The following is a 16,692-nucleotide window of genomic DNA, read 5'->3' on the forward strand; positions in this document are numbered from 1 at the left end:
ATTAGAAATTGAAACAAAACACAAATGCACATGAAAAGATCAATTATTTTCAGAGAGAATAGAGTACAATACTGAATTTTCAATAATTCAAAATTTACTTTGGTTGCCAATATAGAGCTTTATTTTAAGTCCTGATTATAATTAGGCTTGGTTTATATTAAATAAGGTACTAAGAATAGTGACAATCTCTTTGCCTTAGCACTACTGAGATATGTAAGAAGTCAGAATTACAAGAGACTGGAAGAAAAAGGAAGGTTCTTAAACAATAATCCCTCTTACACACGGTTTTGCTTGTTACCCTAGTCAAAAAATATTAAACGAAAAATCCTAGCAATAAACAATTCATAAGTTTAAATTGCATGCCCTTCTGAGTAGTGTGATGAAATTTTGGGTCACCCTGCTCTGTTCTGCTTAGAACATAAATCACCCCTTTGTTCAGCATATTCACTCTGCATATGTCACCAGCCTATCTGAACATTTAGTGGTTTTCCTGATTGTCAGATCAATCATGATGGTATCACAGTGTTTGTGTTCAAGGAACCTTTATTTTATTTAATGATGGCTGCAAGAATATTGATGCTAGTATGTTGTTATAATTGTTCTTCATTATTAGTATTGTTGTTAATTGCTTACTGTGCTTTATTTATAAATTAAACGTTATCATAAGTATCTATGTATAGGAAAAAAACCAGCATACATAGAGTTCTGTATTATTTGTGTTTCCAGGCACTCAGCACTGTGAGTCTTAAAGCATATCCTCCCCTGGCCAGACGTGGTGGCTCACGCCTGTAATCCCAGCACTTTGGGAGGCCAAGGTGGGCAGATCACTTGAGGTCAGGAGTTCGAGACCAGCTTGGCCAACATGGTGAAACCCCGTATCTACTAAAAATACAAAAATTAGAAGACGTGGTGGCACACACCTGTAATCCTAGCTACGCGGGAGGCTGAGGCAGGAGAATTGCTTGTACACAGGAGGCAGAGGTTGCAGTGAGCTGAGATCGCACCACTGCACTCCAGCCTGGGCAACAGAGCAAGACTTCATCTGAAAAAAAAATAATCCTTCACAGATATGGGGAAACTACTCTAGGTTGATGATCCATTAATGTAAAACCATTTTCTCTTTTCAAACTTCGTGTGTGTGTGTGTGTGTGTGTGTGTGTGTGTGTGTGTGTGTGTCTTTGTTCTCTGACCTTCTCCTCCACAGCCTTCTTAGGTCTCATCTCTCTACTTGTTTGTCTCTATACAATGGTAAGCTTTTGGGACTAGAACCACATGTCCCACCCATCATGACACTCCCAGAAGTGCCTAGCCTCACATTATGCATATACTAAAATGTGTGTCTGTATATATAGAATAGAAAACCAAATGCAATGGTTTCCCTCATGTCCATTTTATGTCCCTGGAAGTATAATATACTTTTATATCTAGACTATAAGTCCTGTATCTGTATAGGGATTATTAGTTTTTCAAAGAACTTTCATAATTATGCCCTTATTTTGATAACAATGATATGAAATAACAAGAGCAGTGTTATTACACAGTAGGAAACTGAAGTATAAACCTTTAGATATCTCTAAATGATTTGTCTTAATTCACAAAAACTGGCAGAACTTAGACTAAGATACATATTCTCTCCTTTTAATCCAAGTTTGTTTCTCTTAGATACACTTGAAATGCCTTTCACAATAGTGAAAATTAAGTACTTTGTTCGCAAAAGGAAAAACAAGAAAAAAAAAGATCAACCAGCTTTTAAAAAATTTATTGTGACTCAACCTTAATTGACTTAAACTTTGGTTAAACAGAAATAACTGCGAACCCATTTGAACAAGTCATCAGTGTTCAACAAAATATTCAACACATATTTGATGAGTGCCAAAAACTTTACTAGACAAAGTGAACTTTGAAACCCCTAACTGAAACCCCATACAGGATCTTCCTCACTGTTTGTTTGTCATTAATTTAGTATAACTACCTATAGTGCTACCTTACTAAAAAATACTATTTCCGTCACTTGCCTTTGCTTGGCTACATGGCAACTAAATGACCAGAGTAATGTCAACAACGTGGATTCTTCCAGGGGCCTGTGACATCAGTGCTGTTGGAGGAGTTCAGTGCTAATAGATTTGGCTCATGTTTTCAGTTGTTTGATTTTCAGTCTGGAAAAACAGCGTACAGCATAGCAAAAATAAACAATTACCAAGGTTCTGGGAAGCATACTAGAAATAAAGGATTTATTTTATGTTTTTATATTCTTTTCTACTGTTTTATGCCTAACCAAAATAAAATGTGCATTTCTTAAATCACTGACCCCAAGGCCAAAATAATGGTCAAGTACAAAAAAGAAAGAAGGAGAAAAAGGAGAAAGCCTGAAATATACCAAAGTGAAAATGAAGCCAAGAGAGATATACATGGGTATTGCTTACTAAACAACAAAATAAGAGGATAACTTAAAAACAACAACAAAAAAGAATACCAAAAAAACACACAAAACAAACAAAAAATAATAGGATAACTTAAAGTAGGACTCCCCAAGGTGTTTGAACAACACCATTTTTTGTAGAAGGCAAAGATAAAGCTCCAGTTCTGACAAAGCCTCATAAAGAATGGGCTGGATCAGAAAGGACTTAATAAGTGGCATTGTAGAGGGTAGATGGGATTGTATGACTAATCATAGCAAGAGCTGTTTTTTAAAATCCAGGCCTGCAAGTGCCACACTCTTTTTCAGGAAGAAAGAATACCTGTGGGCAAAGTGAGGCTGTAGCAGTGGCAGGTGCCTAAAATATGAAGGCCAAGCTGCCACATTGCTCCCTGGAAATTCACAAACAATGCTACCTAAATTTCTTATTCCCAAAATAGAAATAGGTGGGTCCAAGGACAGTTCTTCTAACACCGTGCTTCAACTATTTTAACCTAAGACTCTTCATCTTTCATATCAGTTGCTATAATTATCATTTTGAAACAGTACATGCATTTCTTGCTATATATAGATAGAAGGAATGCGTATTTGGATGTCAGTGTCATTTTGTATACCTTCCTTGGAACAACAGTAGTATTCAACTAGTCCTTCACTGTTAAATCTGACCCCTCCCTGAAACTCATTCTCACCAGACAAAACTAGAGGCACTGTTTGAAAAGCTAGGACTCATTTTGTTTCCCCTTTGAGAAAACCCACAGGAAAAGCCAGCTTTCATAGAGGCAAATGTGGAAGCGATTACTAGCATTATGAATAGATCATTCTTTCAAATATATGAGTTACTCAAAGTATGTCTTATTGTGTGTGCATAGATGACTAACTACTTGAGGAATAGGCCTCATTAAAATGGTGGTGCCATGGTCATTGTATCATCATCATCATCATCACTCCCATACTACAGATAAATAATCTCAAAAATGTAAATAATGCATCTACAGAAACAGTAAGTGGTAAAGCAAGACGTGTTCACAGGACTATGTCTTCAGTAACAGGCTCTCATTTATTTTACCACATGATCTTATTTTGGCTTTTCTATCATTATATGCATTATTTTAAATGTTGTATGGTATAGGTAGATCTATAACAACTATTATATAAACGGATAAAACAGGCATACCATCATTAGTTTAAGAGCAGAAAAGTCACTGCAATGTGTCAAGCCACACTTTAAAGTGTTAGGTGCACATTTTCCCACACATTTGCATTATACTCTAAAGCTTTATATGAATTTCTAATATTGTAAGTAAAAAAAAGTTGTATAAAATTAAAGTGTTTCACAATGCTGATTGCTTTTCACAAGAATTCTTCATTGAAAAATTCCAAATTAGATTAATAATGATAAAATGTAGACAATGTATGCAATGATCTAACTTTTACCCTTGACTATTGCAATACACAGTTAATAGTGGTTTAAACATAAAATACTTCTCAGTTTGCTTTGAAGATGACTGAAACGCACCTTCTTTTATCACAGTTAAAGAGGAGTTAGGACCTCTCATTTCACATTTACGGTTTCTCAATTTTTGAAATAAAACTGGCAAATTCACTACAATCCACGTATTTATATTCATTAACACTGAGTACAAAGAAAATGTCAGAGATGAGACGAAAAACAAAAGCGTGTAGTGCTCCCAGTAGCTTAAGAAGTAGAGAGTTTCAGGAAAAAGGGAAGAATCACTGGCAGCAAATCCAATGAGGGTTTGTAAAATAAGAAATGAAAATGAATATAAAATATGAAATGAGTTTCTAATGTAAGTCAGAAAGAGGTCACTGAGACCTGCAAAACGAGTTGTTTTAGTAGGGGGGTGTAGGGGATAGAGGCCAGATGGCTTTGTGAGTGCCGATGGTGGCCTGAGTTAATCCAAGGATAGCTGTGTCAAAACAAATTTAAGGCAGACTATTTTCATTGGAAAATCAGTAAGACAATAAACTTAATTGGTTTTTTAAAAGAAAACAACCTTCCTCAATTAAAAATCCCAATTTTTTTGCTTGTTTTATTAATACATTTGCTACTCATTTTTTTAGACTATATATGCTCAATAACTTGACCTAAAAATTCTTGATCAGATTAGATGTCACTGACTGCCCTATCTCCGTCTGTATATCAGACTAGCAATTATTAAACAAAAATCAAAGACAGCAAATTAGTATGACAAGAAGATTGTATTTAATGAAATTTGACCTGAATCTGAAAGATGGAGAAAGAAAAATAGTGTGTATTAAAATATGTCAAAAGTGGATTAGGCTCTGACAACACAAAGACTTACAGATTTGTCTCTTGAACAAATACCTTTAAATTGTGCGTTAATTCCAAGTGGTTTGGTTTTGTTCCATCAGTAGCAACACTCCCTGCAGCTGAATTGGCAGGTCCTTTGTTTTCATAAGAGTTCTTTGAACCAATCAGGACAGAGATAATCTTATTATACCTCTGTAGGCTTGCGTTTCTTTTGATGAGAGTCTAGAGAAGTCATGGGTAATACTTTACCGTGTGCCAGAGACCGCTTATGTTTCAGTTGTACAAGGTCAGGTCTTAATTTAACCACCAACTGGATACTTAATTTTAGATACACAGAAGCACACATTGGCTCCAGGGCACTTCCTCTGATTTAGGAAGGCAAGTCCCTGGATAAGAATGACAAGATGATCATTCCAAAAGGTGAGATTATGAAATATTTGATCTGTACCTCACCAACTAGCTTATTGAATAGTTCATTATTGGTAATATTTTAAACAGATTGAAATACAAATTATAGTAGCTACTCATTACTTTCTTTCCACTTGATCACCTACGGGCTTACCTGTTTAGAGCCTTTTTAATTAGAGACTAAAGCTAGAATTTGTTTGCTTATAGAATATCAACTCAATTGCATAATTACTAAGCATAAAAAATTGTATCATGAGAAAAACAGATTAAGAATGAGTATCCTTATAGAACATGTCAATATATTTACTATAGAATCCCAGAAGGGTCTCAGCTCACCTCTTGGTTTCTAATAAAAAAAATTAAATAATTTTTGTGAATAAATAAAATAAATCTTTTAAGGCTTTTTCATCACTTGTTGAAAAAGATGAATGCTTTCTGCCCAGATTGAAACATTTCTTTAAATTAGTTAGATTTTTTAAAAAATAAACCGAATAGAATTGGAAATTTACTCCTGCAAATTATATCACAAAATCTAAAGGTTGGAAAGTCCTTAAAATTTATCTGATATCGTCACTCATATTGTTCTTAAATGCACAGTTAACTTCTAAGGAGCTTTCTATATCTAAAATGATTTGACTTCCACGAAGTAAAGCAGTGATGTGGACAAGAAAAATCTTATCACTGCTTTGTGCTGAGATTATTAATTTATTGTGATAAAAATTATAATTTTACACTTCAGTTATTTTATGAGAATATTTTATCTTCAAATAGAAATTTGCCTACAAGTTTTATATTTCCCCTGGAGTTGTTCGATGAATTTGTTAGGTAGTTGCTTAAACTTTTTGAGAAAACTTTTTCTCAGGTTTATGAATTTTTAGGTTACAAAATAAGACCCTCTTTTCATTAATTCATTCAAAGTAGCTGAGTCATAGTTAGAGTATACTGGTTAAGCGTGTGTGGCCTCCATTGTCAGATGACTGGGCTATATCCCACTCTCCACTGCCCACTAGATATGTGGGCTTAGGTAAGTTACCTAATGACTCTGTGCTTCAGTTTTCTCATCTGTAAAGTGGGGGAGAATTATGTCATAGACGTTAAGTGACATCCATTTAATGCACTTAGTGTAATCCCTATCACAGGTAAACACTCAATAGATATTAGTTATAATAATTATTAAACTCAATATAAAAATACTTATTAAAGACTTGCTATGCTATGTGCTTTACTGTGTGCTAAACCTTAAAGAGAAATTGGTATTATTTCTGGAGAAAAATCTAAAATACATTATTTAAAGGCAGAAAACTCTCTGAGGGCATGGATCCCATATATATGTGTCTAGCCCTGTGCCTGGAACACAACAGACGTTGAATGTATATTTTTGCATGGACAAATAGGATAGTCTGAACATCCTTAGGAAAAAAATAATCACTAAGAATTGGTGGGTTAATTCTTTTCCTTTGTCTTTTTGATTAGCAGAGCAAAGGAATGTAGTATCATAGATAACTGTGCATTTGTATTACAACAAGGTATTTGACAATATTCCTTGATGATGGTCTTATTATCAAAAAGGAGACATTAATACTAGGTGGTGGTGTCTTTAAGAGGGTTTGTAGCTGGATAAACACCTTTTCTGGGAGGGTGCAAAATAATGGATCAATGTCAACATAGAGGCCTCTGTCCTTTGCCAATTTCTTTTCAACATTTATCTTTATCAGTGGAGCTTAAGGACATATAGAAGGCATGCTTATTAAGTCAGCAAATAAAACAATACTTGGAGAGATAGAAAATGCATTCAATTTTAGCAGAAGGAAATAAAGGCCAAATTGAAAAAATATAAAATGTAATAGGAATAAATAGAGTCCAATAGGGTCCTGCATACAATTGCACAGAAAACAACGTGGGGAAAACATACGACTTGTAGATCTTTGGGATACTGGGGTCTAAATCAAGTCTGTAACATAATAGCCTAAATATTTATCTGAACTTGGACTAAATTAACAGATGTATAGTGTTTGAGAAAAGGGAACACTTAAACTTGTGTTGGTCTGACTGTAGCTGTTGTGTTGCCTTCAGAGCCTGTGGTTCAGTGTCACTTTTAGAAAGAAATGGATAAACAAATGTGTTTCCAGGAAAGCAGTCAAGACAGTGCAGGAGGTGAGGCCATCTTATAGGAAGAGCAGTTGTCCAGCCTCTGGAAGAAAAAGCTCAGTGGAGATCTGACAGCCTTCCTGGGGGATATTAACAGGGCTCCTGTGTTGCAGAGGAACACTACTTTCTCAGTGTAGCTCTGAGAAAGAGAACCAGAAAAAGGTAAGAGAAGTAGAAACATTATCTTCAGATAATGTTTTGAAGAGTGGATTCAAGTTCACTGGTTTTCCTAATTGTGAAATCTGGCTAGGCCGGGTGCCATAGCTCATGCCTATAATCCCAGCATTTTGGGAGGCCGATGGGGGAGAATCACCTGAGGTCAGGAGTTCAAGACCAGCCTGACCAACGTGGTGAAACCCTGTCTCTAATAAAAATACAAAAATTAGCCCAGCATAGTGGTGGGCTCCTGTAATCCCAGCTACTCGGGAGGCTGGGGCAGGAGAATCACTTGAACCTGGGAGGTGGATGTTGCAGTGAGCCGAGATCATGCCATTGGACTCCAGCTTGGTTGACAGAAGGAGACTCTGTCTAAAAAAAAAAAAAATGCTGGCTAAAGAAGAAGCACCGTGTGAGGAGATAGCAAACTCCCTGACACTTTGATGTTCAAACTGAGGCTACCAATTACTTATTGGGCATGTTGTAAATAAAATTTACAGGTGGGGCTACCTGACAGTCTTTAACTCTGAAAATTGGTGATTCTAGGGAAAAGGAGGGAGAAGAAAATAAAATGGGGGTGTCAGGGTCAATATTCAAGGGTAAGGAATAGAACTAAAACTTTCAAAAAGTACTAGAATCCTACTTTCCCATTCCACAGGAGTTCAATCACAGAATAATAACAGGTAATGTTTACTGACTACTTGTGACACGTCAGACACAGTTAACCAGGCAGCTAATGCAGGCAGGTCGGCATTTGAACAAAGGTTCAACCGTTATATTCAACTGCCTCCAACAGAAAGAAATCAATGGCCTGTACATGATTTCAAAACAAGATATGAAAAAATGCAGTGACTCATTATTATTTGAATCAATTTTGAAGGGAAAAAAATTTGACTTGAGCACCAGACAGGATTGTTTGTCATGTTGAACAAAATACATTATGCCAGGAATGAATATTTTTGGAGAGAATATATGCATATATATTTGTATATGAATATTTATGTGTATATGCATAAGAATAATACTTTTTAAAATGCTCAACATCCCTAATCATTAGAGAAATGCAAATCAAAACCACAATGAGATACCATCTCACACACCAGTCAGAATGGCTACTACTAAAAAGTCAAAAAATAACAGATGCTGGCGAGGTTATGGAGAAAAGGGAATGCTTATACAATGCTGGTGGGAATGTAACTTAGTTCGGCCACTGTGGAAAACAGTTTGGTGATTTCTCAAAGAACTTAAAGCAGAATTACCATTCAATCCAGTAATCGCATTTTTGGATATACACCCAAAGGAATATAAATCACCGTACCATAAAGATACATGCACACGTACGTTCACTGCAGTATTGTTCACAACAGCAAAAACATGGAATCAACCTAAATGCACAATGACAGTAGACTGGATAAAGATAATGTTGTACGTATACACCATAGAATACTAGCCAGCCACAAAAAAGAATGAGATTGTGTCCTTTGCAGCAACATGGATGGAGCTGTAGGGTCATTATCCTAAGCAAATTAACACCGGAACAGAAAACCAAATACCCCATGTTCTCACTTACAAGTAGGAACTAAACTGTGAGTACATACGGACACAAAGAAGGGAACAACAGACGCCAAGACCTACCTGAGGGTCGAAAGTGGGAGGAGGGCAAGGATAGAAAAACTACCTATGAGGTACTATGCCTATTACCTGCATGATAAAATACTCTGTACACCAAACCCTTGCAATATACAATTTACCTATATAACAAACGTTAAGATAAAACTTAAAATGAAAGTTAAAAAAAATAATACTTTTTAAAAGTCTGGAGATATTATTTTTATTGTTACTATAGGTAATCAATGTAGTCAAAACGTTTTTTACTCACCCTACAACTCAATTGCACAAACCAAAAGTAGCTTTTTTATTGTCTGTAACTGGCCTCACCTTTCTCAGGAGCCACCACTCACTAATTAATGGAAAATAAACTATTGATTTCATGCAGACAGACACAATAACTTAGGTAATGAAGCCACTGCTTGGACGATTCAGATAAATGAATTGCTCTTTCAAATTTCTGCTCCTTCCCACGCCAAGAAACTCTCTTCACCAAGTTCTACCTGCTTTCCTGTACATTTGGGCAATCTTCTCTCTTCTCGAGGTCACCAAGGTTCCTGGCCTGCTCAGTCCTAAGAGGTAGATGCTAAGCTAATTTTCCTGAGAGGGCTTTGTAAGCTTTGCCTCTGTAAAGTCCATCTTAGTTCACTTTTCTTGTTGTTACTGGTGGTGAAAACTCTTAAAATCTACACCCTTAGCAAATTTCAAGTATACAATACAATATTGTTAACTACAGTTACATTGTTGTACATTAGATTTCCAGAATTTACTCATCCTGCTTAACTGAAATTTGTACCCCTTGGCCAGCACCTCCTAGCCCCAGGCAACCAACATTCTACTCTTTTTTCTATGACTTCAACTTTTTAGATTCCACAGATAAATATCACAATATTTGTCTCTCTGTACCTGGCTTGTTTCATTTAGCATAACGTCCTCTAGGTTGATCCATGTTGTCACAAATGGCAAGATTCTCTTCTTTTTTAAGGTTAATAGTCCATTGTAAATACACAGCACATTTTCTTCATTTATTCATCTGTCAATGGACATTTAGGTTGTTTCTATATCTTGGCTGCCGTAAATACTGCTGCAACTAACATGGAAGTGCAGATATCTCTCTGAGATAGTGATTTCAATTCCTTTGGATATATACACACAGAAGTGAGATTGCTGGATCATAAGGTAGTTCTATTTTTAAATTTTTGAGAAACCTTTGTACTGTTTTTTAAAATAGCTATACCCCCAAAAAAGATAAACTATGTGCCAGAATGGATAGTTTACTTAGCTTGATAGTGGTGAATATTTCACAATGTATACATATGTCGAATTATCAAGTTGTACATGGTAAATACATATAATTTTAAATTGTCAACTATACTTCAATAAAGTTGGGGGAAAAATCCATCATAGTTCCTTAAAAGTGGTTAGTCATATCTGGTTAAATAAACATCATACTTAAACTAACACTTTACATATAATGTTAAATATTCTTCAAGTATATGAATTTTAATAACTGTGTAGTATTCCATTTTTATGTGTACAATAATGTCTTATACAAATTTCCTATTTTGGGACATTTATGTTGTTTCTAATGTTTTGGCAATTTAAACACAGCTGAGATAAACATTCTCACATGCACATCTTTTTTTACATCTCTGATTATTTCTTTTATTTATTTACTTATTTAGTTTTTGAGACAGAGTCTTGTTTTATCACCCAAACTGGAGTGAAGTGGCATGAACATGGCTCACTGCAGCCTCGACCTTCTAGGCTCAAGCAATCCTCCCACCTCAGCCCCCCAAGTAGCTGATACTACAGGTGCCTACCACCACATCCAATTAGTTTTTGTATTTGTTGTAGAGATGAGGTTTCACCATGTTGCCCAGGCTGGTCTCAAACTCCTGAGCTCAGGCAATCCACCTATCTCAGCCTCCCAAAGTCCTCGGATTACAGGCATGAGCCACCAGGCCCGGCCTTCTTCCTAGACATAGAATTACAGAAGAAGGATAGGGCTTTTAAAAATCATTATATCACATTAGCTTGTGATCAGGGCACGTCTACTAATAAGTTGTCTTTTCATGGGCTTATCTTTCTTTAACTCTTTGCTATTCTGTAAGTTTATATTCCCCTAGAAACCTGTGAGTTTGTGAGTCTAAAGCTCCTTCCTAAACTGTTATGAGTGTAGTCCTCAAAAGCTAACATGCATCTTCCCACATTTCTGTTATAATTAAATTTGACTTGGAAATCAATAGTAAAGAGTAAAACTTTCTTTTTTCTCTATTTTTTCTTGTTCTTATTTTATTTTTTTATCTAGTCCTCATACTAATTTCATTAAAATTTTTTACTTTTGTAATATGAAACTGGAGATAAAACTACTAAACGGGTTCTATCGTTAGTATATTTGCATAGAAATTAAGCATCAATCAGTAAAGCCCCAAAATTTGAAGAGAATTCGGCAAAAATATATCTGTGACCTATAAAGAAACACAAGGCTAATTTTAAGAGTTGTGTGTATTTAATTATACAATTATTCATTCATTTAGTAAATGCTGAGTTTTTATCCCATGCCAGATATCATGTTTAGTTTCTACAGATCATTTTGCCTTTTATATCTTTTTCTAAAATGTTGAGTTGTGTTTCTTCGAAGTAACATAAAAGTAGCATTTGTTTTTTGGACTAAGATTGTTTGTGTGTGTGCATGTTTTCAAGGTATCAGAAGAACATACTTTGCTGTTAAGAAAGATGCTATTTAAACTGATTTAGTTCTCCCCATCATGCTTAGGATTTCTCTTCAGTAGAAAAGGCAAATACCATAAAGAAGGAATCGCTGTAACTTATTGCTTGTAAGTAAAATTACCTGTGACTGTGGGGTAAAACCCAATTCTGACAGTTACACTTCTATCTGAAATTTTTGGGGAACTAGTTGATTCTGTTGTTTAAATCATCCTAACGAATCCATTCATGTGATTTGCCACTTTGTGCTATGCAATTCTTTAAAAATAAGCATTCAGCCACCAAATAAAAAGCAAAGTTATAACAGAATTGTATTTATATTGATTTCTCCACATCTTTAAAAGTATGCATACAAATGATCAAAGTGCATAAAAATGAGAATTCGTATTGTTTGGTATATAACAACTGTATTTTTTTTACCGTACCAAAAAAAAAAAAAAAAAAGAAAATGTCTTTTAACTCTTGCCCTTCCTCTGATAGGATAAATCCTGATGATTCTCTCAGGGACCTCTAGTAGATTAGCTCAACACTCGAGAATCATTGCAGCTTCAAGGTAAAAGAAAAATTCCCAGGGAATCAGTGTCCCCCATTCCACACAGCCGAAACCTGCATCTCCCTCAGAACCCCAGGGTTTCTATTTGGGCTGGCCTTGGATAAAATTGTAAAGAAAACCAAATTGTATTCTATTGACCCTTTTGTTGTCCCTTCGTATCACTTCCTACTAGATCCTAGCCTTAAACTTTCTGCCATCTTCCCAGCCTCATGGTACTCCAGTAACTATCCCAAGACATCTTGGTTCTAAACTAGGGGCCAGTATGTTGCTATCTAAATTTTAAAAGGGACACTGGAAGATGGAACAATAAGCCCTAAAGGACAGAATCTCTTGCTGATGCAATAGAATGACACTGATGTGACAGGTGCTGGGGGCAGTGTGTTATTTATAGACACAGAGCCCTTCCTTGCACCATGGAAGCAACTGTCCACTCTGCTTAGTCTCAAGGCCAGCCTTGTTTAGGACTCATAGAGATGGTTTCAATTTTGTTATGCCCAAGACAGAGTGTGAGGGTAGGTGGGGAAAACAGATCTGCATGTAAGCAGGAGTAAACCAACTAAACAATACATGAGGAAGAAAGTTGTATTCGTCCTTTTTCAGGGAAAGGGAGAACCTTGGTTCCGTGCTGTGGGAGCTACTGTATTTCAAAGGAAGCTCTGACAGGTGTCAAAAATTTATCAGCTGCCTTTACAGGAAGGCATTAGCTCTGATCATGGTTTGGAGGCAGTTTAGCAAAACTGATGCAAAAAGGTGTCATATATTCATGTTCACTCCTGCATCATATTTTTCAACATTACCAACCTCCTCACCATTTCAGTCAGGCACCAACTGGTATGTCGATCCTGTTGTTTGGACCATGATGTTTAGACTCCAAGGCAAAAAGTACAGAATGAAGGCAAGCTTAGGAACCTCAGACCACCCTAAGTAACATAAAGCCTTATTGCATGGAGCCAAAGAAAAAGATTTATGTGTCCCTGGAAGCTATTTTTTATTTTTGGAAGTGATTGTCATCAAATGCTGGCTGTTAAAAGCAAGATCACAGTGTTTTCTTTTAAAGGCAACAGACTGTGAGATATTTTCCTCTAACTTCTGAAAGACCTTAAAAGTGAAGGTATTTCCTGCTCGGTCCAGACTCTACTTATTAGCTCTGGGACATTTGGTGGGTCATTTAACCTCTTGAATCTATAATACCTACAATATAGAATTGGAATGAGAATTTAAAACAAGGTAATATATGCAAAATGCTTTGCACAGTGCTTGAAACAAAGCAAGCACTTGATAATTTATGGTTATTATTACTATTGCCAAATGTATCAAAAAATTTACATGATCACCAAAGTTCCCTTTTCTCACTATCTGAATTAAGGATTTAACATAGCCTATCTGTAAAATAAACTAAAACTTATTGATATCTGAGGAATATATTTGGCATTTAGCATTTAGGAATCCTTAATTCAGTGGTTTTTTACCAGGAGAACATGAAAAAACCTCTGAGATTCCATAAGTTCCCTAAAATCGCATGCAAAATTTTGAGTGGACATGTGTCCCTCTGGAGGGAGAATCCATAGCTTTTATCAAATGTTTTCATGACCCTAAGCAAGGTTAACCAGTGCTTTAAATGAAGAGGCTGATTGTACAATATGATTGCATCAGTTACTTTGTAAATCAGCTACTTATGGAGAACAAATGATTTATCTTGTGGTCTTCTCTAGAACAAGATTGAATGTTAAATGGCAAATTATTATTAAGAGTCAGTTTCTCTAGGCCAGGCATGGTGGCTCATGCCTGTAATCCTAGCACATTGCGGGGGCCCATCTCTACTAAAAATACAAAAATTAGCCAGGCATGGTGGCCGGTGCCTATAATCCCAGCTACTCGGGAGGCTAAGGCAGGAGAATCACTCGAACCCAGCAGGCGGGAGGTTGCAGTGAGCCAAGATTGTGCCGTTTCACTCCAACCTGGGCAAAAGAGCAAAACTCCATCTCAAAAAAAAAAAAAAAAAAAAAAGAAAAGAAAAATCAATTTTCTCTAGACTGAGAAGTGGGATACCCACACATATACCTTAAAGATGTCAAAATATTGTCTGGCCTTTCCTCATGCTTCTGAGTAGTGCTTTATAGAAATAATTTCCCATAGACTGTTGCTGGCCCTCAGGTGGGATTGAGTCCTAGCCACTCAAGGAGGTTTAGATAAATAATTTTTTTTTCTTTTTTTTGAGACGGAGTCTCGCTCTGTCGCCCAGGCTGGGGTGCAGTGGCGCGATCTCGGCTCACTGCAAGCTCCGCCTCCCGGGTTCACGCCATTCTCCTGCCTCAGTCTCCCGAGTAGCTGGGACTACAGGCGCCCGCCACCGTACCTAATTTTTTTTGTATTTTTTTTTAGTAGAGACGGGGTTTCACCGTGTTAGCCAGGATGGTCTCGATCTCCTGACCTCGTGACCCACCCGCCTTGGCCTCCCAAAGTACTGGGATTACAGGCGTGAGCCACGGTGCCCGGCCAGTTACTCTTATTTATGAGATAGCACAGGCTCCATAGAGAACTGAACTGGTCTTAGATAAAGAAGTTACTCTTATTTATCTAAAGGATAAATTTATGTGAGGTTTAGATAAATAAGTTACTCTCCTCTTGCCTTTATCATTGTGTCTTGACGTCTTTAAGTCCATTCCAGTAATGCTCCTTTGACTGACTGTCTGGCACCTTAGTACACCTGCATGCAGATCTTCACTTCATCTCAAGCTTTCAGGAAAAGGCTGGAGACACCTGTGCTAGATTGGCGTTGTTCTGCATAGAAAGTGTTCCGATCATTTTCACCCTACTGTCATTAGAGATACCAAACAGGAAGCTAGGGAACTTCCTTTGTGATAGTAGGAGAAAAAAAAAAAACGTTAAAATAAAATACTTTCCACAGACCAGCTCAGTTCTTTATGGAGCCTGTGCTCTCTCATACACTGAAAGCCCAAATTTCAAACAGGGTTAGATTTAAGCTGGTGATTTAAATAGGTGAAAGGCTCTGTATCCTATTACTAATCCCAGAGCCATACAATCCCCCCTATCACCCCAGTAATATCACTGAGAAAGTCACCAGGCAAGGCCACAGGTTGAACTTTGTCATCTACTGGTGCTGGCTGACAGATTCAGTACTTGTCTGCTAGTAATGAGTCAACAACTTTTATTCCAGGGACCACTGACAGCAGCTGTTTGCAATAGTTGACAAGGAGAAGGAATAGAGGGAAAAGATAGAGAAAAGAAGAGATTTTGTTTCCTCTCAGAAAACCAATGGTCCAAGTGAAAACACAAACACAAGTATGTAAATAACTTGTAAAGCAAATACAGAATGAATGAGTATAAACCCAGACATTGGAAAAATATTACATAAGAGGAGATATTCACAGATTAAGATGGCTGGAGAGGAACTGAAGAATTATACCGAGAGTTTATATAGGAGGAATGTCTTGTGCCAGCCTTAACACAGTGCGAGCCATGGATGGGGATCAGCTGGAGGGCCTCGTGAATAAAGAGAAATATTATGTAAAAGAACAGAAGAGAGACAAATGAAGCTAAGCACAGAGTGAACAATCAAATTTGTTTAGTTGGAAAAAAAAGAAACTCCATATCCAAAGGAAATGGTCAGTTCTAAGAACAAAGAAGAGCCCGAATTATATTTCAATGCTCACTTATTAATTCATTAATTCATTTATTCAACACATATTTAGAGAGCACAAACCTGGAGATGACGCTTCTCTTGGCACTGAGATCACAGACTAATTCCCTGCTTTTACTGAGTTACATTCTAAGGAGAGGAGACACACAATGAGCCAATAAACAATAAATTAAAAAGCAAAATACCATTTACATCTATGTGGTGAATAAGATCTCTAGGGTGCCTTTTGAGGAGACTGAGATACCACAGTGTCAGGGAACATGCTTGGTGGAGCATGGTGACTATCTCGTGTGTGGTCTCTGAACATTAGCACTATTCTATACCTTTTGTTCTGAGGTGATATTAAGGCCACTGATATAGAACAATGAACAATTAATCATAATATTGCCATTGAGTTCATGCGCAGTCTGTCCACAGGTTAGAGACCTTGGATGTTAGCAGGTATAGAGTTTGAAATTATCCAACCTTGAGGAAGAATGAGAAGAGGTAAAGCATGTGTCAACTGTGTTTTGGAAATTGCCTGCAGAGCACTCTTTTGTTTTTCTCTCATTCAGAAGACATACTATAAAGTAAAATTTCATATAGAGACTATAAAAGGCTTGAAAAGTACCATCAATCAAAGATAATTTCATATTAGCCAGTCAACTCAGCTATAGAAATTTTATTTCTATATTTACTAAATGTCCTCTCTAAATAAAATAAAGCAATTGACTCAATAG

General features: G+C 36.6%; 2 protein-coding genes across 13 annotated transcripts in view; one reads left to right on the forward strand and one right to left on the reverse strand.

The window, feature by feature from the left end:
* The window catches only part of NDUFA5 (NADH:ubiquinone oxidoreductase subunit A5), a 64,655-nt gene extending 59,789 nt beyond the window's left edge, over nt 1-4,866 (reverse strand). The window contains exon 1 of one of the 2 annotated variants that reach the window (NR_111926.1): nt 4,764-4,866. The gene's annotated coding sequence lies outside the window, so the exon portion shown is untranslated. The remainder of the gene's footprint in view (nt 1-4,763) is intronic. The other variant, NM_001291304.2, reaches the window with a different exon arrangement.
* Nucleotides 1-16,692, forward strand: part of ASB15 (ankyrin repeat and SOCS box containing 15) — a 72,474-nt gene that overhangs the window by 29,778 nt on the left and 26,004 nt on the right. For 2 of the 11 annotated variants that reach the window (XM_011515819.3, XM_017011757.2), the window contains exons 2-4: nt 7,247-7,427; nt 11,809-11,869; nt 15,491-15,615. Coding sequence is in view for 2 of the 11 variants with exons in the window: in XM_011515816.3 (XP_011514118.1) it covers nt 5,114-5,129 (16 nt within the window). In the remaining 9 variants the exon portion in view is untranslated. Of the gene's footprint in view, nt 1-5,035; nt 5,130-5,840; nt 6,142-7,190; nt 7,428-11,808; nt 11,870-12,237; nt 12,313-15,490; nt 15,616-16,692 lie in introns of those variants that run through there. The other 9 variants (XM_011515816.3, XM_011515821.3, XM_011515818.3 and 6 more) reach the window with 8 other exon arrangements.

This window comes from Homo sapiens, chromosome 7 (assembly GCF_000001405.40).
Source record: "Homo sapiens chromosome 7, GRCh38.p14 Primary Assembly".
Classification (NCBI taxonomy): Eukaryota; Metazoa; Chordata; class Mammalia; order Primates; family Hominidae; genus Homo; species Homo sapiens.